Source organism: Homo sapiens, chromosome 8 (genome assembly GCF_000001405.40).
Source record: "Homo sapiens chromosome 8, GRCh38.p14 Primary Assembly".
In the NCBI taxonomy this organism is placed as follows: Eukaryota; Metazoa; Chordata; class Mammalia; order Primates; family Hominidae; genus Homo; species Homo sapiens.
In genome coordinates, this window is record NC_000008.11 from 38,332,456 (window position 1) to 38,359,381 (window position 26,926).

General features: G+C 38.2%; 1 protein-coding gene across 2 annotated transcripts in view, besides 1 other annotated feature; it reads right to left on the reverse strand.

Annotated features, from left to right (window-relative positions):
- Positions 1-14,976: part of a mitotic recombination region, noted in NCBI's record as "NUP98-NSD3 recombination region recombines with the NUP98 (NSD3) recombination sub-region within the nucleoporin 98kDa recombination region", that runs on past the window's edge. NCBI's record gives the evidence for it as "EXISTENCE:nucleotide sequencing assay evidence [ECO:0000219][PMID:11986249]" and "EXISTENCE:Southern hybridization evidence [ECO:0000078][PMID:19380029]".
- The window catches only part of NSD3 (nuclear receptor binding SET domain protein 3), a 112,568-nt gene that overhangs the window by 62,752 nt on the left and 22,890 nt on the right, over positions 1-26,926 (reverse strand). For both annotated transcript variants that reach the window (NM_023034.2, NM_017778.3), the window contains exons 2-4: positions 15,042-15,760; positions 6,081-6,152; positions 4,850-5,012 (exon numbers count right to left, since the gene is read on the reverse strand). In NM_023034.2, the coding sequence (NP_075447.1) occupies positions 4,850-5,012; positions 6,081-6,152; positions 15,042-15,716 (910 nt within the window). In that variant the 5' untranslated portion in view covers positions 15,717-15,760. The remainder of the gene's footprint in view (positions 1-4,849; positions 5,013-6,080; positions 6,153-15,041; positions 15,761-26,926) is intronic.

Consider the following 26,926-nt stretch of genomic DNA (forward strand, 5'->3'; position numbering starts at 1 on the left):
TTTAAATAACATTAGATATAACCCACGTAAACAAAAGCCTTTTTGAGTCCTCAAGTTTTAGGAGTAAAAGGGGTCCTGGGACCACAACATCTGAGAACTGCTGATTAAGGGCAATGCTACTCTGAAATTGGTTTGACAAACAAGCCAGTCTGGGACAAAAGTAAGTACAGAAGTTGAGTAAGCATTGAGAAGCTCTGACAGCAATTTGACATTGTTATGATATCTAGACACATGATCAAGAATCTTGCACTAGGTGTTTTTTCAGGGGAAGGGCATTCTTTTTTTTTTAAATAATTAAGTTTGGTTGTATTTTACAGAGGTATTAGTACATAGTAGACTAGACATTTGAAAAAAGTAAAAAAAAACTGATCTTTTGCGAAAAATAGTCTGAAAAATACTGTTCTAGAGAAAAAGTATTAGATCAATGGAGAAATGCAGGAACTGATCTTTTCAGAGAACCCAAAGTAATTAGGAAGAAAAAGGCAACAGTGGACTCAGATTTTCATATCATCTCATCTGAGAATAAAGACCCAAGCACAAATCTAATTATAATTAGTCAAAGAAGATTTATCTGAAATCCAAAGGGTTTTTGGGGGGAAAAATAGAAATATAACCTAAACTAATAAGTGAATTTCAAGGACAGGGTAGTGGGTACAGGTATTCAGATTAAAAAAACATAGTACATAATGTTTCCAAACATCAGAGTTATTTCTTCAGATATGAACAGATAATCCCAAAGGACTTAACATAAAAGCCGAAATTTATAGATAACACAATTTCATTTTAATCTGTATTTTCAACTTCTTCCCCCATTAAATCATTTACTAGAGAGGAAACAAGACAAACATTTTGCCTATTTGTTAGCACTTTGTTTCCTGACACCTGGAAAACTATGAAATAAGACTGAAATAAGAAGCTACAGACCTGAAAAGTCAAGAAACAAGCACATCTGTCTCTGACTGAAGAGCTAAATTTTTAATGAGTCCTAAATAATAAAATACAACTTAAAATAGAATTGTGATCCAAACATCTTTCAACATGCTCTTACAAATAATTATTACATCTTTATGTGTGAAAAACTGTTAAGTACATTTTCCAGTGCTAAGAATCTAATAAAAATACTGACTAATGGCCGGGCGCGGTGGCTCACGCCTGTAATCCCAGCACTTTGGGAGGCCGAGGCGGGTGGATCATGAGGTCAGGAGATCGAGACCATCCTGGCTAACAAGGTGAAACCCCGTCTCTACTAAAAATACAAAAAATTAGCCGGGCGCGGTGGCGGGCGCCTGTAGTCCCAGCTACTCGGGAGGCTGAGGCAGGAGAATGGCGTGAACCCGGGAAGCGGAGCTTGCAGTGAGCCGAGATTGCGCCACTGCAGTCCGCAGTCCGGCCTGGGCGACAGAGCGAGACTCCGTCTCAAAAAAAAGAAAAAAAAAATACTGACTAATAACAATATGGAAACCAGTGATTACTATATATGATTAAGATAAATTTTACAAAGTTGCTTAGATAGAAAGCAACACAGGAGATTCACTCATTTCTCTGGGTATCTCCCATGTATACATGCAGTATATGTGCTATTAAAAAAGTAATGATCAGCATAAAATGCTTAATAGGCATCATGCGTGGAACATAATTAACAGAATTTTTAGGCTGTGTTTTTTTGGTTTTCAGAAAAACTGTCAGAAAACTACTGCATTTAAAACTATACTATATAGCCATAAATGGAATATTATTTGGCAATAAAAAGGAATAAAGCACTGATACCATGTTAAAACATGGATGAACCTCAAAAACATTATGGTAAGTGAATGAAGCCAGATGAATAGGTAAGTCTACAGAGACAGAAAGTAGTTACTGGCTGCTTAGCGGGTAGAAATGAGGGTGACTGCTAATGGATACAGGATTTTTGGGGGTTGATGAACATGTTCTAAAATAGATTGTGGTGATGGTTGCACAACTCTGTGAATGTACAGATTTTTAAATCAATGAACTGTACATTTTAAAAGGGTGAATTGGCCAGGAGCAGTGGCTTACGCCTTTAATCCCAGCACTTTGGGAGGCCGAGGCAGGCAGATCACAAGGTCAGGAGTTTGAGACCAGCCTGGCCAACACAGTGAAACCCCGTCTCTACTAAAAATACAAAAAAAAAAAAATTAGCCGGTGTGGTGGTGGGTGCCTGTAATCTCAGCTACTTGGGAGGCTGAAGCAGGAGAATCGCTTGAACCTGGAAGGCGGAGGTTGCAGTGAGCTGAGATCGTGCTACTGCACTACAGCCTGGGCAACAATCCATCTCAAAAACAAACAAACAAACAAAAAAAACAGGTGAATTTTATGATATGAGAATTATATTTCAATAAAGTTTTTAAAACTACTATAGAAAAATAATTTAAATTTTTATTAAAATATATAGGTTAAAATATATGCATTTCTTAACCTAAAATTTCAGACTTCTGGTAGTAATATAAACAAAATCGGTTTTTCCAGCACTAAAGTAGGAAACTGCCTGGGGGTACCAGGCTAGAATTTTTTTTTTTTTTTTTTTTTGAGACCAAGTCTCACTCTGTCACCCAGACTGGAGTGAAGTGGTGGATCTCGGCTCACTGCAACCGCAACCTCCACCTCCTGGGTTCAAGTGATTCTCTTGTCTCAGTCACCTGAGTGAGACCTTAGAGGCATGCGCCAAAACGCCTGGCTAATTTTTGTATTTTCAGTAGATATGGGGTTTCACCATATTGGCCAGGCTGGTCTTGAACTCCTAACCTCAGGTGATCCACCCACCTTGGCCTCCCAAAGTGCTGGGATTACAGGCATGAGGCACCTTGCCCAGCTGAGATTAGGTTAATTAATAAAACTAAATGTAAATACTTCCTTTGAAATACAGATGAGACATAAATTGTGCTTTCATTTGTATCTTGAAAAAAGCTGAAATCTGCAGGTTTTCATAAAGTAATTGAATATGAAACTCTTTATATAATCTCAACAGTATGCTTTCCTCAGGGGACAGAAGTGAAGATCCAGAGTTCTGACATGATGTAACTTCTTAGAGAGTTCTGGAGGCCTAGATGTGGACATGAATTGTTTTATTTAAGAAAGCATGGTCTTCTTGGAAAATCCTTGTCTTTTCTTTTCCCACTCATATAACCATAGATTATTAGAGGGGTAGGGTACTTCAGAGATGACTAGTCCAATACCCTTCTTATATAAATGAAGGAACTATAATAAGACTGCCTCCTCCAACCTCTGTAAATGATGACTAGGTGAATTTAACTGCTTTCCCTGTAATATAAGGCAGTGTTTAGGAGGAGAGGTTATGAAATTAAGATTTCTTTGAGATTCTGTTTACCTATTTAAAATATGGGATAATAAAAGTACCTACTTCACTGTGTTGCTGCTATGAGGATTGGATAAGAAAATATATAAGAGAACTACTGAACACAGGACCTTGCACTAAAGCAGACACCCAACAATGCTGGTTTTTCACTTCTGCCTCGCTGACACATCCCGTCTCCTAACCTTTAATCAGCAGGTCACATTGACAAGACGAAAAATGGTTGAGCCAGATGGCCTTCTATACTGGGAGAGATTCTTGGTTATGCAGCACAAGAATCACAGATATGGCTGATCCTATCACAAATGTGCCTTGCCAGACATAAAGAGATACTTTTTCCCTTCAGAAGAGTGAACAAGGACCAAGACAGATGGTTTAAAGTAAAAGAAAAAGAAACAGGTACAAACTTGTCACAGACAATGAGGAACTCTACACATGACAAGAGTCAATTCACAAAGTTAACACCCAGAAGTAAGTTCCAAGCTCAAACCTTTCTTTGGCTACTAAGCAAGTTCATTTCAAATGCTAGAATCTCAGCAATCTACTCCACATCATTCTTTGGTCAAATCCCAGAAAAGGAGTAGAGAAAAGTTAGAATTGTCTTTCTTAATTTTTATTAACATTCCTAAGGTAGGATTCTATATTATATAGCAACCTTCAGGCTACATGTCATATCAAATTTACAAGGATGCCCCAGTAAATTTACCGATTCAAGAATGGAGTGTAGAGGAAAAAAAAGCATCCTGCAAAATTTGCCAGGATGAAAAGTACTTGTCTGGGTAAAAAATTACTATCCATAGCAGTCAACGATGAAATAAAAATGTTCAAAGAAGGCTTGGCGCAAATGCTTATTAAGTTCATATAAAACATCTGATCGCTTGTCCATATGCTTTCTTTAGGAAATATGAGGTCATATTTTCAGTCAGATTAAGGTCTTTAAAAAAAGCAAGTGTAAGCAAATTATAAGCAAATGTAGGGTATCATAAGGGAAACAAGGACTGCATTAGCCATAGAAGCACTCTGCAATTTAAAATGACTATCAGTATTTCACTGGTTTTAAAAACTGATACAGAGGCCGGGCGCAGTGGCTCACGCCTGTAATCCTACCACTTTGGGAGGCCGAGGCAGGTGCATCCCTTGAGTTCGAGAGTTCAAGACCATCCTGGGTAACATGGTGAAACCTCATCTGTATTAAAAATACAAAAACTAACCAGGAATTGTGGCGGGTGCCTGTAATCCCAGCTACTCCAGAGGCCCAGGCAGGAGAATCACTTGAACCCAGGAGGCGGAGGTTGCAGTGAGCTGAGATTGCGCCATTGCACTCCAGCCTGGGCAACAGAGCAAAAACTCCGTCTCAAAAAAAAAAAGAAAAAAAAAAAATCCACAAAACTGATACGGATATGCACATTTTTGTATCAGATTATATATTACGTGTGTATTCTTATATTCACATACAACATTTAAAAGTCACTTTTATTTCCAACCTTTTACTTAGTATCTGTTTATGCCTTTTCTTACCTCTTGTGTTAATTTTAGTATGAACCTCAAGCTGGGGATCACTTGAAACCATACAAGGCCACCAAGGATAGGTTCCCACCTTGGACCACACAAGATCGCCAACCTGAAACTTAACACCAGTGGACACTTCCGTTGTTGGAACAGAAGATAGTATTGGCTGAACCTACAGGAAAGGGTCAAAAAACTTCATCAGAAATTCAAAAAAAGAAACTATGTATAAAGTACATTAAAAATGCTAACAATGTAATTTTATCTTCAGTTATACTTTGATACAGGAAAGTGTCAAAAAACATCAGAAATTCAAAAAAAGAAACTAGGTATAAAGTACATTAAAAATGCTAACAATGTAATTTTATCTTCAATTATACTTTGATACAGGAAAGGGTCAAAAAACATCAGAAATTCAAAAAAAGAAACTAGATATAAAGTACATTAAAAATGCTAACAATGTAATTTTATCTTCAATTATACTTTGATACAGGAAAGGGTCAAAAAACATCAGAAATTCAAAAAAAGAAACTATGTATAAAGTACATTAAAAGTGCTAACAATGTAAATTTATCTTCAATTATACTTTTCTCTGATGCCTCCTATCTAAAACTAGCAAAAGGGAAGGAGGAAAAATATTAATAAGCCCCACCCCAAATACTGAAGATAGGATTGATGGTTTCTGTTGCCAAATTATTAACAAGGCATGTTAAGAATACACATGATCGGCCAGGCGCGGTGGCTCACGCCTGTAATCCCAGCACTTTGGGAGGGTGAGGAGGGCAGATCACAAGGTCAGGAGATCGAGACCAGCCTGGCCAACACAGTGAAACCCCGTCTCTACTAAAAATACAAAAATTAGCTGGGTATGGTGGCACGTGCCTGTCATCCCAGCTATTCGGCAAGCTGAGGCAGGACAATCGCTTGAACCCAGGAGGCAGAGGTTGCAGTGAGTCGAGATTGCGCCACTGCACTCCAGCCTGGGCAACAGAGTGAGACTCCGTCTCAAAAAGAAAAAAAAAAAAAATACACATGATCAATTGAAAAAAAAACAGGTCATAGTTTTGAAAAGGAAAATGATTCACTGAAAATATCCACCTATCAAACCAGCTCCAAGACTTATTTCAATATAATTTCTGAAATTAAGAAGCGTAGTACCAATACAATTGTGTTGCAATTCAATCACTGTGTTTCACCTTCTTCCACCATATTTGGTTAGACAGTATTCAGTAAAACAACTTACTGGGGCTTCCTCTTTTAGTACTGGTTCTTCCCTTGGTTTTTCTGATACAGTGTCAACCCTCTCATTTGGTCTCTAGGTGAAAAGGTATAGGTAAGTAGAATAAAATGGCATTAAATAAACAAACAAACAAAAAACAGTGACATACATAAAAAGAATCAAAGAAAACTAAATAAAGAGAATAAAGGGCATTTATTAACTGAACAATGTAAGGAGTAAGAATACAACTTACTCAATACCTAATGCTGTCTCAACATTCATTTTCCACCCCATATCATAGCTTTATCTCCTTTTTCTTATTTTGTTACTTTTAAAACTTAATTTCTAGGCCGGGTGCAGTAGCTCATGCCTGTAATCCCAGCATTTTGGGAGGCTAAGGCAGGCAGATCACAAGGTCAGGAGTTCAAGACCAGCTTGGCCAGCATGGTGAAACCCCGTCTCTACTAAAAATTAAAAAAATAGCCGGGCATGGTGGCGCATGCCTGTAGTCCCAGCTACTTGGGAGGCTGAGGCAGGAGAATCACTTGAACCCAGGAGGCGGAGGTTGCAGTGAGCCGAGATTGTGCCACTGCACTCCAGCCTGGGTGACAGAGTGAGACTCTGTCTCAAAAAAAAAAAACAAAAAAAAAACCCACTTAATTTCTAAATAAACTGGTAATTTTCTTTTTAATGCTCAGATTCTAGAAAAAATGGGCACTCTAAGATTACTAGTAAGATGTAACTTGAAACTTTTCTGAGAGCAATTTGGTTGTATATATGAAAAACATTAAATTTTCAGACTCTGACCTTGCAAATCTACTTCTAAGAATGTATATTTGAAAAGCACTGAGAGATGTAAAAAATATGGATAAGTATGAAGATATGCATACCATTGCTACTTACAAGAGCTAAGTATTAAACATAATCTAGATGGGCTGGGCATGGCGGCTCACGCCTGTAATCCTAGCACTTTGGGAGGCTGAGGCAGGTGGATCACGAGATCAAGAAATTGAGACCATCCTGGCCAACATGGTGAAACCCCGTCTCTACTAAAAACACTAAAAATTAGCTGGGTGTGGTGGTGTGCGCCTGTAGTCCAAGCTACTCAGGAGGCTGGGGCAGGAGGATTGCTTGAACCTGGGAGGTGGGGGTTGCAGTGAGCCGAGATCATGCCACTGCACTCCAGCCTGGTGACAGAGCAAGACTCCATCTCAAAAAAAAAAAAAAGGAAAGAAAGAAGTTTCTAAAACCCTTTAGGGAGGCAATTTGGAAGTAGCTATCAAAATTCAAGATATGTACACTCTTCCATCTAGCAATCACATTGTAGAAATTTATTCTATAGAAATATCCAAAACAAGAAAATCTAAGCAGAGGAATGGTAACTACAGTATTATTTCATGTCAGTAATCTGCATGTCTACCAATATCTTCCAATTTTTTATTTAAAAATATGTAATTTATACATGCCTTGAAAATATTTGGTACAATGTAAACAAAATTGATACCAGTAATTATCTTTTGGGAATGACATGAGGGAAATGGTGAAGGAAGATATTCTATACCTTTTTATTATTCGTCTTTTCTGTAAAAAAAAAACCAAATTACTTCTACAATTTAAAAGATTTTTAAAATATGTTACTTGTTAGAGAACAGAATTTAATTTAGATGGCTTAAAAAGAGGGTATAGCCATTAAAGTAGGTCTTCACTCCACTAAAAGAATATGATTAATTCTAAAAGCTACTTAAAATTCTCATTCTATTATTTCAAAACATTTAAAGACACTGTTGTGAAAACAAAGTTTTATTAAATTAAAAAAAGTATAAAAAGGTTTTTGTTTTTTTGAGACAGAGTCTTACTCTGCTGTTGCCTAGGCTGGAGTGTGGTGGCGCCATCTCGGCTCATTGCAACCTCTGCCTACCAGGTTCAAGTGGTTCTCCTCCTTTAGCCTCCTGAGAAACTGGGAATACAGGCCCGCACCACCACACCCAGCTAATTTTTGTATTTTTAGTAGAGACGGGGTTTTGCCATGTTGGCCAGGCTGGTCTTGAACTCTTAACCTCAGGTGATCCACTTGCCTTGGCCTCCCAAAGTGCTGGAATTACAGGTGTGAGCCACCACACCTGGCCTAAAAAGATTTTTAAGTTTTAGGAAAATGATATGTTCTATAAGCCAGACTAATGTCCCCAAACCCAAGTATCATTCACTTCACAGTGCCTAGGACGTTCCAGGCCCAGTTCTAGAAGCTATATAGGCTATATATAATAGTGAAACAAACAGATGTGATTCCTGACCCCAAGGAGTTTACAGCTGGGCAGGAGAGACTGACATTAAAAAACAGAAACACAAACATCCAGTTAAAAAGTAAGTGCTATGGCTCGGCATGGTGTGGCTCACACCTGTCAGTACTTTGGGAGGCCAAGGTGGAATGATCTCTTGAGGCCAAGAGTTCAAGACCAGCCTGGGCAACAGAGTGAGGCCCAGTACCTAAAAACAACAAATGCCTGTAGTCCCAACTACTCTGAGGGGCTGAGGCAGGAGAACCGCTTATGCCTCAGAGTTCAAGGCTTCAATGGGCTATGACTGCACTCCAGCCTGGGTGATGGAGCGAAACCCCGTCTCTTAAAACAACAACAACAAACAAAAAAAGTAAGTGCTAGGAAGAGAAAGATAAATAATAGTGTAAGTGTATATGTATTTTCAGATATGAAGGTCAGGAAAAGCCTCTCTAAGAAAATAAATTACAATCTGCCAGGCACAGTAGCTCACACCTGTAATCCCAGCACTTTGGGAGGCCAAGGTGGGTAAATCACGTGGTCAGGAGTTCGAGACCAGCCGTGCCAAGATGGTGAAACCCTGTCTCTACTAAAAATAGAAAAATTAGCCAGGCACTGTGGTGGGTGCCTATAATCCCAGCTACTTGGGAGGCTAAGGCAGAAGAATTGCTTGAACCTGGGAGGCAGAGGTTGCACTGAGCTGAGATTACACCAATGGACTGTAACCTGGGTGACAGAGCGAGACTCCGTCTCAAAAAAAAAAAAAAAGAAAAATTACAATCTAAGAATCAAAGGACGAAGAATTAGCTTAGTAAACATGGAGGAAAGAACATTCCAGGAGGAAGGAGTAGCATGTGTGAGATACCTGAGGTTAAAAACGGTACCAGCTGTGCACAGTGGTTCACACCTATAATCCCAGGACTTTGAGAGGCTGGGGCAGGTGGATCACTTGAGCCTAGGAACTGAAGAACAGCTTGGGCAACATGGCGAGACCCCATCTCTATAAAAAAAGAGCCAGGCGTAGTGATGTGTACCTATATACTCCCAGCTACTCGGGAGGCTAAGGTGGGAGGATTGTTTGAGCCCAGGAGTTTGAGGCTGTGTGAGCTATGATCACGTCACTGCACTCCAGCCTGGGTGACAGAGTGAGACCCTGTCTCCAAAAAAACAAAAAAAAAAGGACTTCCTTCCAAATCTTATAATTCAAATGTCTTATCTTTTTTAATTTTTTGATTTGTTCCAGATTGTTGGTGTTTCCTTCAGGCTGGTTTGAAACACCATCAAAATCACTTTCAAAGAATTAAAGTTTTTTACACAGTCATTTTAAAAGAAATAAGTGGCTAGGGAGCGAAGGATGCCCAAGAGGATTTATTCTAAGCTTTCAAGACTATATAAGTAAGAGAAGAAAAAGAATTCAAGTAAGGATGCTGCAATAATAGAGAGGGAGTATCTATTATAAAATGTACGTGAGCAAAACAGATATACCTGGTAGGCATTCAGAGACAGAGACAAGTTTAAGACATTAAAATTAAGTAGGGACAGAGATACCCTCTTTGGGTACTAATTCCACTGCTTTGTCAGAAAGAGAAAACATCAGAGAAAAAGATGACAGTGAGTTAGCTCTCCTTAATGTTCAATTCATCTTAATTTTAAAATTATGATTTTGTGGGTATATACCACTTTTTTACATTTTTAATTGACTCCACATAAGAACACCTAAAAATTATGTTAAGAGTAGCTAAAATAAATTACATTATCCTAAATATTCCTTTACAAATTTTAGCCTAGTACTTTTTTTTTTTGAGACAGAGTCTTGCTCTGTTGCCAGGCTGGAGTACAGTGGCATGATCTCGGCTCACTACAACCTCTGCCTCCCAGGTTCAAGCGATTCTCCTGCCTCAGCCTCCCAAGTAGCTGGTATTACAGGCACGCGCCACCACGCCTGGTTGTATTTTTAGTAGAGATGGGGTTTCACCATGTTGGCCAGGAGGTCTCGATCTCTTGACCTTGTGATCCGCCCGCCTCGGCCTCCCAAAGTGCTGGGATTACAGCCGTGAGCCACCACGGCCTTCAGCCTATTACTTTTATTAAAACCCAAGACATTCATTAAGATGAGTATACTACAGGCCAGGTGCCGTGGCTCACGCCTGTAATCCCAGAACTTTGGGAGGCCAAGGTGGGTGGATCACTTGAGGTCAGGAGTTCAAGATCAGCCTGGCCAACATGGCGAAACCCCGTCTCTACTAAAAATACACAAAAAAATTAGCTGAGTGTGGTGACGCACACCTGTAATTCCAGCTACCTGGGGGGCTGAGGCATAGGAATCGCTTGAACCCGGGAGGCAAGAGGTTGCAGTGAGCCGAGATCGTGCCACTGTACTCCAGCCTGGGTGACAGAGACTCTGCCTCAAAAAAAAAAGATTAGTAATACACATCAAATCTGTCAGAATTTCAAAGCCTTAATAATATTACTTATATAAATTTCAAAAACATAGAGTAAAATCATAGTCCCTAAAAGAACAAAAAACTGATGTCAACATTAAAGTTGGAAAGAAAATTTTAAAGGTAATAAATTGTGCATTTTTATTTTACTTTCTGAATGACTTAAGTTTGTAACCTTAAAAATAAAAAATGTGGGCCAAGTGCAGTGGCTCACACCTGTAATCCAAGCAGTTTGGGAGGCCAAGGTGGGTGGATCACCCTAAGGTCAGGGGTTCGCGACCAGCCTGGCCAACATAATGAAACCCCATCTCTACTAAAAATACAAAAACTAGCCAGGCGTGGTGGCACACCCCTGTAATCCCAGCTACTGAGGAGGCTGAGGCAGGATAATCGCTTGAATCCTGGAGGCAGAGGTTGCAGTGAGCCGAGACTGCACCACTGCACTCCACCCTGGGCAACAGAGTGAGATTCTGTCTCAAAAATAAACACATAAAATCAAATAAAAAATGTGTACAATAAAGAACATTTTGCATATAAAGAGTTTCTAAGAATTTTAAGGCCTAATACTCTGAGGCTAGAGAACCAAACCTGCTACCTTAGTGTTCACGGGACTGATCCAGCCACTCTGCTTTTTATAAGGGGATATGGCAAACTAAGGGTTAATGAGACTCTGCCTTAGTGGATTAGCCCACTGAAGTGCTGATAGGAGACCAGTGACTGTTTGAATAATAGGGCCTACGCTCACATGCCTGAGGCATTCCACCTGCCAAGGAGGAAGACATGCAGAAACACAGCCACATATTTCTGATTTGGTGGGAGGAAAAACAGCTCATGCAGATTTTTAAAATATACAATTTCAGTAGTGATCTCAGGTCTCCTGCTGCCTAGATGTTTGGACACATTTTCATTGCTGAGAAGATATACTTAGGTTGTTCCAAATAACAGCCACTCTTCAGAAGGCCAAACAGCTTAGAATTAGGGGGAAATACTTACACATCAAGTACTAAGAAAAAAAGTAGCAGGTGAAATCTTAAGGTGTTGTGTTTTTTTATTTGTTTGTTTTTCAGACAGAGTCTCATTCTGTCACCCAGGCTGGAGTGCAGTGGCATGATCTTGGCTCACTGCAATCTCCACCTCCCAGGTTCAAGCAATTCCTGTGCCTCGGCCTCCCGAATAGTTGGGATTACAGGTACCCACCACCACGCCCGGCTAATTTTTAAATATTTTTAGTAGAGATGGGGTTTCACCATGTTGGCCAGGCTGGTCTTGAACTCCTGACCTTAAGTGATCCACCCACCTCAGCCTCCCAAAGGGCTGGTATTACAGATTGAGCCACCATGCCCGGACTTAAACATGGAACTCAACTATATGAGATTTTGTTTGCTCAAAAAAGAACCTATGAACCTATGAGTGAGCTTTTAAGGAACAACAACAACAAAGTAAAGTAAAAGAAAAAATCTATATAAAAGCAAATCCAGCTCCAGGAGATTTAAATCAGACTTTTTTCTCCAGGAATACATTTTTCATTATGTTTCCCTGAGGCATCTGGGGGAGGGAAGCTGTCCAGTGAAGTCAGTGGATGCTTCTTTGGGCTTCCTTTTCACTTCTCAGTTCTCTACAATGCTAAACACCAAGGGCTGGGACCCCTATGGACAACCAGTAGGCATAGGGTATTGACTATTAAAACACTTAAAACAACTGTCCTGAAGGAAGCACTGTAGATGTTGTTCAAGTTAAGGAAATCTAATTTAAAAATATATGCAGTTGTGAAACATTAATTTATACACATCTCTAGCTTAGCAAAAGCATGACATTAACGATAGGCAAGAGCTGTGGGAGCTCTGGCTTTGAAGGTCTGTGGTCAGAATGGACTACAACTTCTACAACTGCCCCCGTGTGTGATACAGTTCCAATTAATCAAAATTCAATTAACAAGAACTTACCTCTTTACTTCTTTGAAGGAAGGGAAGAAAGAAGGGGTGAGAGGGAGAGGGAGAGAGAGAGAGGAGAGAGGCAGAGAAGAAGGGAGAGAAGAAGGAAGGAATGGAAGGGGGAAGGGACGAGGGGGTAGGATGGAAAGGGGGAGGAATGGGGCAGAGAGGGGAGCAGGGAGAGGGAGGGAGAGGAAGAGGGGGAGAAGGAGACAGGGAGAGAGGGAGAGAGAGAGAGAACGAACAAGAAAAAAACCTGGATTTCCCCCCAAGACTCGACTTTCAGGCAATGCTCCTAGTAATATTCCAGGCAGTCAATGCCACTTTCTCCAGCTATACTTTTGGTCAAGTTGATATTCCTTTATCCCAAGCTATTGTAAGATCCTAAACAATCAAATAGTAAATTTTGCTCATCATGATTCAATAAAAGGGAAAATGAATTAAAACCCTTAAATTAAAATCTAAACATCTGGGCCAGGCGCAGTGGCTCACGCCTGTAATCCCGGCACTTTGAGAGGCCAAGGCAGGTGGATCACCTGAGGTCGGGAGTTTGAGACCAGCCTGACTAACATGACCCTGTCTCTACTTGAAAAAAAAAAAAAAATTAGCCAGGCGTGGTGGTATGCCTGTAGTCCCCAGCTACTCGGGAGGCTGAGGCAGGAGAATTGCTTGAACCCTGGAGGCGGAGGTTGCGGTGAGCCAAGATTGCACCACTGCACTCCAGCATGGACAATAAGAGTGAAACTCCGTCTCAAAAACAATAAAATAAAATAAAATCTAAACATTCTAATCCTGAGCTATAATAGTTAACTGAAGGTTTAGGTGATATAAAGAACTAGGTATAGCAGACATCTAACAGAGACAGAACTGGTTTTAGAATCTCATTGCAAAATGACTACTAGAAACATCACTGATTACTCTTTATCTCATTACCCAGTTTTATTGTCTTCATAGCATCTAAAGCTATGAGAACTTATGTACACACATATACATATATGTATGCATATGTATGTATATATGTATATATACATATATGTATATACATACCTATGTATTATGTATATATGCATATGTATATGTGTGTACATAAGTTAGCTTTAGATGCTATGAAGACTATGTATATATACATATATAGTATATAGTATATATAGTATATGTATATGTATATATGTATATACACATGTATATAGTATATATAGTATATGTATATATGTATATATATGTATATATAAATATATATTGTATATATGTATATATGTGTATATATATATGTATATGTGTGTGTATTTTCTGGCTCCCCTCACTAGAATATAAGCATCCTGAGAGCAGGCATCTCTACTTTTCATTCATTGTCATACCTTTAAGTCTTAGATCATTGCCTAGCACACAGTAGGAGGAGCATTTCACCAACATTTGTTAATGAATAAATAAGAAAACTATAAAAAGTGAGAAAACATGTTGAAATGTCACACTGGGACTTGTGAGAGTCTAGAAGCATTGTGACCTTTACTCCAGAAAAACATCACATGTGAGTTGTATGAAGTAATAGAAGCCAGCTACCAAGGAAAAGATGAATAGGTAAGAAGTAAACATTTCTTTGAACAGAAAATAAATTAACTTATTCAGGTATAACACATATAAAAGCAGATAGCTGTCATAAAAATAAATATAGTTTTCCCAAGTCAAAGTTTAGAAAACATTTGCAATTTATATTATGAACTCTTCATTTAAGCTAGAATTATGTTACATACTTATTATATTATTGCTAAGCAAATTCACGCTGAAATCTCAGATATTAAAAAATTCAGCAGCATATATCTTAAGTTACCTATAAAGGATGACTTTTATAAAAACTCACCTGAAGTTTTAATCAATATTTATTAATACTAACTCTGATTTTAATAAAAAGATTTCTATTATTTCAGGTTATTTTGTAGCAAACATTAGCAATGAGTGTTAAATCTAAGCTCTACTGGAAAAAGTTGGTCTAAAATAATGAAAACCCAATATAATTAGCTATCTTCTCTTTGCCTTTCCTCTTGATTTTCAAAAACCAACAGTCTATTGTAAGCAAATAAAAATAACCGAGGTCATCAGGACAAAGAAACATAAGCAGAAAGATTCGTTTTACATGTTTTAAAAATATTTCTTAACTAATCATGTCCATTCATATATTCAACAAATACTCAGCACCTATTATAATATTCTGAGCACGTTGCTAGTGATTAAAGAAGTTATCAGACAGATTCATATTTAAAGAGATAAAAACCAAAAAGATCTCTTGAACTTCCAGTAAATGTGAAATATAACAAAATTTTTCAAAACGACTTTTCAACTTACATTTTGTTCCTCTGGTTCTAATTTGGGGATTTTGTGTGACTTGCGCTCTTCAGATCTTGATGAGTCATGCTTGTTGCTTTTTTTCCTCTTTTCTTTTCTGCTTTCATGCTTTGATTTCGTGTGCTCACTTGCCTGTACTTCATTTAAAAGGTCTCCACAAAGGGAAGACTCAAACAATTCCCTGCCATTCTGGATAGTTTTGGTTATTTTTAGTTTAATTTCAGGTGAGCCAGTCTTCTTTGGAATCACAGTTTGTGGTACCGAAGGAGGAGGTGGTGGCTGTGGAGGGGAAGGTTTTTCCAGAATTTCATGTGGTCTTGTGTTTGGAATTTCTGAATGATAATAGTCAGTGGGGCTAAAGTTTCTAACTGCACCAAAGCCATTGGCTGACCCATTAGGATACTGATTATATGACTGGTATTTGGTTTGAGTTTCATACACACTGATTGATGATGGATACCCATTTGTGAGTGGAGGAAGATCTTCTGTTGTAGCTGGGTACTGAAAGCCTTGCTGCAAAGTAGCTTCATATGGTGTCTGGCCACCATCTTCAGCAATGTCACTGTTGTTATCAAAGGCATCCTCCTGACGGATGTTGGCGGAGTCAATGAGTTGAGGTGGTTGCTGAATTGTGTTTCCCATGATCCCTTGCATGAAAGAGAAAGAGAAATCCATTGTTCTGCTCCAGCATCCTTAACTTTCCCTTTCTCTCATCGGGCCTAAAATTATAAAAGAGGGGATTAGAAGGTGTTACTATTCTCATAGGCTAGAGGCTAATCAACTGAAAAAGGATTAAACTAAAATGTTTTGAACTCAATTTTCATATCCAGATATGCATAGACATTAAATATTTCTAAAACAGATAACTGATATAATTCTGACACAGGGCAAATACCTTTTATCTTCAATGCTTATCTGTTTGAAACTCCTGATTACTTTCACAACAACTGTGGCAACAAGATTTTATCATCACCACCAACACACGAAATAGTTTTGACATTCCTTTTTATTTCCCAAGTTAGAGATCGTCTCAGGTTAAAACTGGTGTTTGCAAAATAAGCAGTGTCCTGACACATATCAATCTGCTTCCATAAGAGCTTCCTTTAAAATCATTCATATTTTGTCCAGTGGTTGTTTTTATTACAAAAATAATAAAATGTTATTGCATTTTTTCTTTTTTTTTGAGACAGAATCTCACTCTGTCACCCAGGCTTGAATGTAGTGGTACAATCATGGCTCACTACAGCCTCAACCTCCCAGGCTCAGGTGATCCTCCCATCTCAGCCTCCCCAGTAGCTGGGACTCAGGCATGCACCACCACGCCCAGCTAATTTTTGTATTTTTTGTAGACAGGGTTTCACTATGTTGCCCAAGCTGGTCTTGAACTCTTGGGCTCAAGCAATCCACCTGCCTCAGCCTCCCAAAGTGCTAGGATTATAGGCGTCAGCCACCACGACTGGCCTGCAAATATTTTAAACACCAAAGTGAAAAGGCCTGTTCCTGTCCCCACTTCATTATTCCCACTCTTCTATGCCAAGACAACCACTATAAACACTTTGATGGGTATACTTTCACATCTTTCTCTACATTTTTACATATAAATTTTTAAAATAGGGCTTATTCTGTGACTTGCTTATTTAACTTAACAATATATCCTAGATATACTTCTACATCAGCATGTATAGACAATTTTCATACATATTCATTCTTTAAATGGTTGCATAGTAAACAAACGTGGTATTTGTATTTAACCATTTATGTACTGATCATCAGTTTCTCACAATTGTTTGATATAATAAATACGTCTGCAGAAAACCTCGTTTATTTTTTACTTATTTTTCTTTTCTTTTCTTTACTCTTTTTTTCAAATAGAGACAGGGTCTTGCTATGTTGCCCAGGTAGGTCTCAAACTCCTGGACTCAAGTAATCCTCCTGCTTCAGCCTCCCAAAGTGCTGAGATTATAGGCATGAGTCACCACGCCTGGCCTGAAACATTCTCTAAACTCTGTTTTTGTGCACATATATATTTCTATAGGACAGATTTGAAATTTTGAGATACTGTAAAATTGTTCTATAGGTTATACTATGTCAATGAACTCTCATACCAATAGTGTGTGCTTCTCTATAGTTGCCAGTATCTACTTATTTTTTTATTGTAATTTCTTTCTTTATATATATATATATATATATATATATGTATTTATTATACTTTAAGTTCTAGGGTACATGTGCACAATGTGCAGGTTTGTTACATATGCATACATGTGCCATGTTGGTGTGCTGCACCTATTAACTCGTCATTTACATTAGGTATATCTCCTAATGCTATCCCTCCCCCCTTTCCCCACCCCACAACAGGCCCCAGTGTGTGACATTCCCCTTCCTGTGTCCAAGTGTTCTCACTGTTCAATTCCCACCTATGAGTGAGAACATACAGTGTTTGGTTTTTTGTCCTTGCAATAGTTTGCTGAGAATGATGGTTTCCAGCTTCATCCATGTCCCTACAAAGGACATGAACTTATCATTTTTTATGGCTGCATAGTATTCCATGGTGTATATGTGCCACATTTTCTTAATCCAATCTATCATTGTTGGACATTCGGGTTGGTTCCAAGTCTTTGCTATTGTGAGTACTGCCGCGATAAACATATGTGTGCGTGTGTCTTTATAGCAGCATCATTTATATTCCTTTGGGTATATACCCAGTAATGGGATGCCTGGGTCAAATGGTATTTCTAGTTCTAGATCCCTGAGGAATCGCCACACTGTCTTCCACAATGGTTGAACTAGTTTGCAGTCCCACCAACAGTGTAAAAGTGTTCCTATTTCTCCACACCCTCTCCAGCACCTGTTGTTTCCTGACTTTTTAATGATTGTCATTCTAACTGGTGTGAGATGATATCTCATTGTAGTTTTGATTTGCATTTGTCTGATGGCCAGTGAAGATGAGCATTTTTTCGTGTGTCTGTTGGCTGCATAAATGTCTTCTTTTGAGACGTATCTGTTCATATCCTTCGCCCACTTTTTGATGGGGTTGTTTTTTTCTTGTAAATATGTTTGACTTTTTTGCCAGTATCTACTTATTTTTAACAAGTGGTATATATAGCAGAAGCATCTGGAGTACTTTTACAAAATGTACGTGGCAGGGTCTGCCTCCTGAAGATTCTAATTGAATAAATCTGGGGTGGGGTCCTGGGCATAAGTTTTTTAAGACTATATCCCCGGTAACTTTGATGCATATTCTTGGTTAGATCATTGCATTATAATCTTTCAATTATTGCACCTCCTCCAGTAGGTGTCCGAAGATGCCTACATTATGTAATAACGTTACAATATAGATAAGTATCTGTTAGAAAATGCTACAAGACCACCCTGCCTTGTCATAAGGTTTGACACGTGCACATCACAGAATAGAAGATTAATGGACAATCCATATAATATTTTGATAATCCAACAAACATTTCTTCTAGAAAGTTCTTTTTTTTTTTTTTTTGAGATGGAGTCTTGCTCTGTCGCCCAGGTTGGAGTACAGTGGTGCAATCTTAGCCCACTGCAAGCGCCGCCTCCCAGGTTCACGCCATTCTCCTGCCTCAGCCTCCCGAATAGCTGGGACTACAGGTGCCCGCCACCATGCCCAGCTATTTTTTTTGTATTTTTTTTTTAGTAGAGACGGGGTTTCACCGTGTTAGCCAGGATGGTCTCGATCTCCTGACCTCGTGATCCGCCCGCCTCAGCCTGCCAAAGTGCTGGGATTACAGGTGTGAGCCACCATGCCTGGCCTCTTCTAGAAAGTTCTAAAGCAGGAAGGACAAACCAGTTTTCACAGCTATATCAACTCTGATGAACTGATTGTAGCTTCCTAGAATACTGTGAAGAAGGATCCTGAGGCCGGGCGCCGTGGCTCACATCTGTAATCCCAGCACTTTGGGAGGCCGAGGTGGGTGGATCACGAGGTCAGGAGTTTGAGACCAGCCTGGCCAATACAGTGAAACCCCGTCTCTGCTAAAAATACAAAAATTAGCTGGGCATGCTGGCAAGTGCCTGTAATCCCAGCTACTTGGGAGGCTGAGGCAGGAGAATTGTTTGAACCCAGGAGGCAGAGGTTGCAGTGAGCAGAGATCGCACCATTGCATTCCAGCCTGGGCAACAGAGTGAGACTCCGTCTCAAAAAAAAAAAAAAAATACTATGCAGCCATAAAAAATGATGAGTTCATGTCCTTTGTAGGGACATGGACGAAGCTGGAAACCATCATTCTCAGCAAACTATCGCAAGGACAAAAAACCAAACACCGCAGGTTCTCACTCATAGGCGGGAATTGAACAATGAGAACACATGGACACAGGAAGGGGAACATCACACACCGGGGCCTGTTGTGGGGTGGGGGGAGTGGGGAGGGATAGCATTAGGAGATATACCTAATGTTAAATGAAGAGTTAATGGGTGCAGCACACCAACATGGCACATGTATACATACGTAACAAACCTGCACATTGTGCACATGTACCCTAAAACTTAAAGTATAATTAAAAAAAAAAAAGGATCCTGAGGCTACATTCCAGTTCGACTCTGTTAATAACAGAATCATTAACAATGCCTATTATTAATAGATTAATAATAGACTGATTAACAGTGTCTACCATCTTGGTTCCAGTAGGATCTGCTGTAATAATAAAACAAATAACCCCAAACAGCAAATGGAAGAGGGAAACAAAGCTGACAATACACTTTTCAAGGTGTATCCAATTATACAGCCACTGTTTCTTCTGCTGTTAGCAAATGGAAATGATTTTGGAAGTCCTAAAATTACAAACAAATGAATAAGACTGCACACAAGAAATTGAACTGTATGTATTGCTTTACATTGGTGGGGGGTGGGAGGGATCCAGAGCGCTCTCATTTTCTTAGTGTCACCTCAGTGTCAGGCACTTTACACATCAGCTCATTTAATAATCACAACTCTGCAAGATAGGGATTGTGATTTCTGGTTCATAGGTAAAAGAAAGTGAGCTTCAGAGGGGCTAGGTGGCCTGCTTAAACCACAAAGTGGGAGAACTTGAATTTGGATCTAGGCATGTCTGACTCTGAAGTCCATGTTGTTTTTGTTTGTTTGTTTGTTTGTTTGTTTTGAGATAGGGTCTCACTCTGTTGCCCAGGCTGGAGTGCAGAAACACACAATCACAGCTCACCGCAGCCTTGACTTCCTGGGTTCAGATGATTCTCTCACCTCAGGCTCCCAAGTAGCTGGGACTACAGGCATGCGCCACACCTGGCTAATTTTTTGTATTTTTTATAGAGATGGAGTTTCACTATGTTGCCCAGGCTGATCTCGAGCTCCTGATGTCCATGATTTTTACTACTGTATCACTTCTGTTTCCCTCAGCTATCAGTTCTGGGAAAAGAATTCTTTTGTTCAGGTACTTTATTCCTTCGTCACTACCAAAATCACAAATATTCTAATAACCACCATTAACACTTACATAGCACTTTGCATATGCCAGGCACCATTCTAAGTGCTTGACATAAGTACTACGTTTAATCCTCCCAACAACATTCATGTAGCTATTATCTCCTATTATACATAGGGAAATAGAGGCACAGAGAAGTTAAATGACTTGCTCAAGTGCACATGGCTAAGATTCAACCCAAGATTCACCCAGGCTGGAGTGCAGTGGCACGATCTTGGCTCACTGCAAAAAAACCGCAGTTCCAGGGTCTGTGCTCTTGATTAGCATACCATATTTACTGACAATGTTTAACAACTGAAACATTACCTTAATTTAACTTTTGGCAAAAATGTATAGCTCACAGCAACAGACATAAGAAGGAAATGTTTAAAAATTCTGTTAACAAGCATGGACCAACTACACAGGCAGAATTCAAAAGTTCTCATTTATACTTCCAACTTGAAGGCAAGTCAAATAATGACATCTAACAAGATGCAACCTGTGTTTTTGGTTCTTGTAACTGTTGTATACAAGATCAGCTTCCAGATTCGCCTCCCAAATTATAGTCTTCAGGGTTTTTCAGGCATATGTATTCAGAGACTGAGATTTCTGATGCTTTTGATTGAGTTTCAAACACAAAAAGTTTTATATTTTCCCCTTTTCCTGTCTTCTCTAGCCCTAACTCCAAATATTTCATTTTAGTCTGAACTAAGAAAATAACATTACCTTCTTATAATTACACAGGAGTCCATGGAGTGAACACATATACATTTGTATCACAGAGTGTTTTCATATACATTTGTATTTGATCCTCAAAACAACTCTGTCAGACTGACAGGGCAAGGTGTGCATTAACTTCATTTTTTAGGTAACCACATAGAACACTTCAAATACTGACTTTCCAAGACCACAAAGCTAATTAGTGATAAAGCTTGAAAAATAATCAGTCTCCTGATTTCTAATCCTGTGCTCTTTTTCACAACATCCTACCGCCAGAGAATAACCAACTACTTAAGGACAACTACACTAAACGCTAAAGGTCATTAGTCCAAAACTGAATGCACTGTCCTTTTCCTAGTGCAATGTCCCTTTCAGACTACCCCAGTCTGTCATTGCTTCCACCACTTTTCTAGCTTCCCAGACTAGAAATCTCAGGCTCACAGGTGATTGATTCTTCCCTCTTTGTTAAGCCATAAAACCAGTCATTTAGCAAATCTCGCATTTTCTTCCTTTGAAGTATTCTTCCCAGTGCTTAGACCGAATCTAAAGTGAGGAAATAATCAGACAAATCCAAAATGGGGGATATTCTCCCAGACAACTGGCCTGGGCTCTTCAAAGAGGCTAATGTCTAAAACAAATGAAAGGTGGAAAGACTATTCTAGATTAAAAGAGACAAGATTTATCAACCTAATACAATGCATGAACTTTGATTAAATCCTGGATTTAAATACACACAAACACAAAGATTAAACAGATATTGTGGAGACAACTAAAGAATTTTAAAATATGAACTGGCTTTAAACAATGGAGCTATTAATTTCAAGGTTCTGATAATGCTATTCTGTTTATATACGAGAATGTTCTCATTCTTAGGAGAGCTATGCTGAAATATGTGATAAAGTGTCATGGTATCTACAACTTTCAAATGGTTGAGGATTTTAAAAAAGGTATATATACCTAGAGTAAAGCAAATGAGACAAAATTTTAACAACTGGCGAATCTAGGTGTTGAATGTAATATTCTTTTAACTTTTCTAAAGGTTTGAAAATTTTTAAACTGAAAAGTTCGGGGAAAAAAAAAACAAATGATTTGGCTAGTGTTTGGAAGAAGTACTAAAAATAAAAAGCTACAGGTACCTAAAGTGGTATAAGCCTCCATTAAATTCTGGTGCCATGTTCTAAGCAAACAAGCTAAAGGGGCCACATTGTTATATTTTCTAGAAACCGTAAGCATTAAGAGGGCCATACTTCTTCATATTATGCCTCCAAATAATACAACAATGCAATCAAGAAAGCAGTTTTGGTAGTTCATAAAAACAGATATTTTGGGACTACATGTAAATTTCTTTACATAGTGATTTTTATGGGCAGCGGAGTCTGGCGGCCAGCCTTCACGCAGCAGACACACCAACTGATAAAATGGTTAAGACCTTACTAGATTAGGGGGCTCTACTGAGCACTGTGCTTGAGAGTGCAGGTTCAGAATCAAACTAAGTTCAAAAGCATACTTCAAGTCCTGCTGGCTGTGTGACTTCAGGCAACTTATTCAGCATCTCTAATCCTCAGTTTCCTTAGCCAGAAATTGTGGATACCTGCAATTGTGTACCTTGTACAGGGCTGCCGTAAGAATTAAGAGTTAATCCATGAACAGCACTTAAGACAGTGCCTGGCATACAGTTAGAGCCTGGCCACTTGTTGGCTATTATTATCATTCATTGCAATGCTGGGCATACAGAACTGCTAAAAAGTTAAAAAAAAAAAAAAATCACTGACCTAAAGGTACTTTCAATCTCTTTAGCAAGATAATGTAAGATTTTGTGAGTAAGACACATAAAATAGTAGCAAACAATGTGAAACAGAAGATGACTAAGAATTGAATTGTGTTACTACTACAATTATAACAGACATCTAAGGAGAAGAAAAATGCTGGGCAAGGAGGCATTTAGGCCATGAGAAACAAGTAGGATGTGGAAGTAAGGTGTTCTTCACACATTGCTTTTCAAATTACTTGGTACAGGCCATCAGAAATTCTTAAACCTTTGTCCTAAATAAATCCCTGATAAAGATAATGTGTTCAATTTATTTTTAAAGCAATAATTTTAATGGCTAACATTTGAGAGCTTAGTGTCAATACTATTCTAAACATTTTACATTTGTTATATTATTTTACTTCACAGAACACCCCTTTGAGGAAATACTATTACTATCCCATTTTACAAATGAAAAATCAAGGCCAGTATGATCAAATAACTTGCCATAGTCTGAGATCAAGTAAATGGAGGGTTCAAACACACACTCTGTTCCACAGCATTGGCTCTTAACAAGTAAGCTTACTTCCCACAATCCCTAAATATGTAAACAACAACAGAACCTCACTTCACCCTTCTCCACTCCCACTCCCCAGAGTTAACTAACAATTTGGTGGGAGACTAAATAATTGTACTAATCTATCCATTCTAATATGTACTTTCAAGTAAATGAAATCACCACACAAAAACATTTCTGATAAATTCATCCTCTGAACAATGTTTCTAGGCTAATTTTTTAAAAAAGATAAATCAATCAATGAATACTTCTAATTTTGCTGAAACTATACAGTTTTAAATAAGCAAAAAAAAGTTGAAAATTATCAATCAAAGCTTTAGTGCTCTTATTATTTACCAACTTATTCATGGTGGTGGGGGATGGTGGGCTGATAATAGAAAAGTTTATAGAATCCTTAAGCCAAATCACAGATACAGAGTTGAAAAAAACAAAAACAGGAAAAGAAATCAAGCCAGGCATGGTGGCTCATGCCTGCAATCCCAGCTCCTTAGGAGGCTGAAGTAGAGGGCCTGTTTGAGGCCAGGCATTCAAGACCAGCCTGGGTGACACAGTAAAACTCTTTCTCTAAAATAAAAAAAAGAGCAAGAGGGAGAAAGAAAGAAATCATGTTACGTGTTTCAGATGAACAACTTGAGCCTATAAATATCAATTAAGTATTCATAATGTGCTAAATTTATAGTTTAAGTCACTATAACAAATTCATAAACAATTATTTCTGTGGAATGTATTGCTAGATTCTACTCTATAGAATTACATGTTGTGCTGTATATATTCTTTTTTTCTATGTTTAAAATGCCAGTCTCTTCTCAATAATAGAAACTTTATATTTAATTATACTTAAAAATTCCTTAGGCTGGGAGCAGTGGCTTATGCTTGTAATCCCAGCACTTTGGGAGGGTGAGGTGGGTAGATCAACTGAGATCAGGAGTTTGAGACCAGCCTGGCTAATATGGCGAAACCCCGTCTCTACTAAAAATACAAAAATTAGCCAGGCATGGTGGTACACGCCGGTAATCCCAGCTACTTGGGAAGGTGAGGCAGGAGAATTGCTTGAATCTGGGAGGCGGAGGTTGCAGTGAGCCAAGATCACACCACTGCACTCCAGCCTGGGTGACAAAGCAAGACACCATCTCAAAAAAAAAAAAAAAAAAAAAAAAAAAATCCTTACATTGATATCATTATTTAAGCATTTTGGAATTAGAAGTGGTTTTAAGATGTCATATAAATTGTCTATTTCTGTTTTCAGACACAGCTACTCTACAAATACATTCCTAGGTTAATCTGTAAATCAAACCACAACACTCTATTGATTAAAATCCTTCAATGGTTTCCCATTGCCCAGAAAAAGGCCAAGCACTTAGACTGACAGATCATATAAGGCCCTCCAAGCAAGGTCGCTAACCTACCTCTTCAACCTCAAGTCATTTTTGTACTCTAGTAATATAAAATCACTGGAAATTTCTCTGCACACCATGATTTCACTCCTCTGTGCCTTTACTAATATTATATCCTATCCATAATATACCCTTTTCCTTTTTTATTTTTTTTGCTTGACTCTTAACCATCTTTTGAGCTCAGAATGTCATTTCCAAGAAGTAGTCACTTAAGCTCTAAGTTAGTCTGAGTAACTTTCCTCTGTGTTCTAAGATATTCTATGCGTGCCTCTCAGAATTAACCATAAAATGATCTGTTTATGTGAGTTTTCTTAAGAGCAGGAAGTAATGTTATTCCCATATATGCTCTTGGAACCTAACTCAAAGGCTCAGAGGAGGGGCTTCAATGAATCTTTTAAACTAAACTACATAAACTTAAAGAAGTTATTTTATATAAATGAAATGCTTCACAGAGCTGCTGTGGGTCTTTGCATGGAGGTAGTAACAGAATATAAAAGCAGTTACAGTCTCCTCAGGTAATATCCTTGGTAAAATGAGACTAACAACTTAGCTCACTTAGATGTCACTGAGATTCTCTTTAGTTCTAGACTTAACTTTCATGAAGGTTTAAAGTTCCAAGAGACTGGAATGAAGTCAAATAAACTTCCAGAGGGAGTGTTAACCCAACCAAAGACCAAAATATATTAAAAAAAGAAACTCATATGTATATATATATTTAAAACCTTATTAATGTAGGTCTGAAATTCAGAATGTAGAAGCTCTCAAAATACAATTGTCATAGTTGTAGTTAACTGAATCAGCATGAAAATCAATCTATTTTCCAAAGTTGTTCTAGTAAACATAATCAATCATACTATAAAACAAAGTATACTTGATAGATGTACATGAGAATTTTTACAGCTAGAAAAAAATGGTGGAATATAATATGATTTTCACAACACAGAGGAAGACGGTGGTCTTCCTTCACCCCAGGATAAACAAGGGATCCAGATGTTTCTTTATATGAACTGTTGCAAGGAATATTTCTCAAGGTTTATGATAAATCCACACTCAATGTGTTTCCATAGTAACAGGAATGGAGTACATGCAGACAGTCTACAGTAATGAACCAGCTATGCTGGTTCTTGAAAACCTAGCATGTTTGGCAATTTATGCAGCAAAAACATTATTTAAAAAAATTTTTTTTAAGATACATAATGTTAAAAAACTAGAGGGTCATTTTGTTTTAAACGCAGTACATAAAGACAAGCTTAAGCATAGATTCTGTGAAGTATAAAGAGAAAGCTATCAAATATATTCATATACTAATTTCTAACTGAATGATCACTTAATGTTTCAGTGATCCTGTATTTGGATCCTGTCTTTGAAATCAATTTAATATGTACATACACGCAAAGCCCCCCTAAAAACATCTTCTGAATGTGACTCACATTTGATCACAGAATATAAAGATCTCCGGGTGACAGCATCAAGGGAGATTCTCGTTTTACAATTTTTCCCCAAATTGACACCAAGAAGTAAATGGGGGGAAAGGAACAGTTAATTTTTTTTTTAATATGCTCCATTATTTTCAGTATATGGGTTTGGTAGGGTGAAACCAGAAACTCTACAAAGAAAAAATGCGTAACTATAGAAGATGCTAAAATCCTCTAATGTCAGTTTTTAAAAAAGACTCCATTCTTTCTGGTTCTGTGTTCTACTAATATTTTAATCTAAATATATGATCAGAGTAACCCTTTGACTATAAGTTATAAATTCTGGTATTGCCCATTTAGGTTTTCATAATTAAAAAATTTTTAGTAATACAGTAACAAATGTGTATTGTTTAAAAATAATGGAGGTAAGTTTTTAATGCTATTTATTGTGAAACTGCAAGCCCCTCATCCCTTTTTGAAGTAGTACATACATATTTTTAAAGGACCCAAACACATACCTTTAGAAATCAGCAAAACCAAACTGCTATGAAGTATGAACAGAAGCAAAAGTCAATTTCTACCCTAAG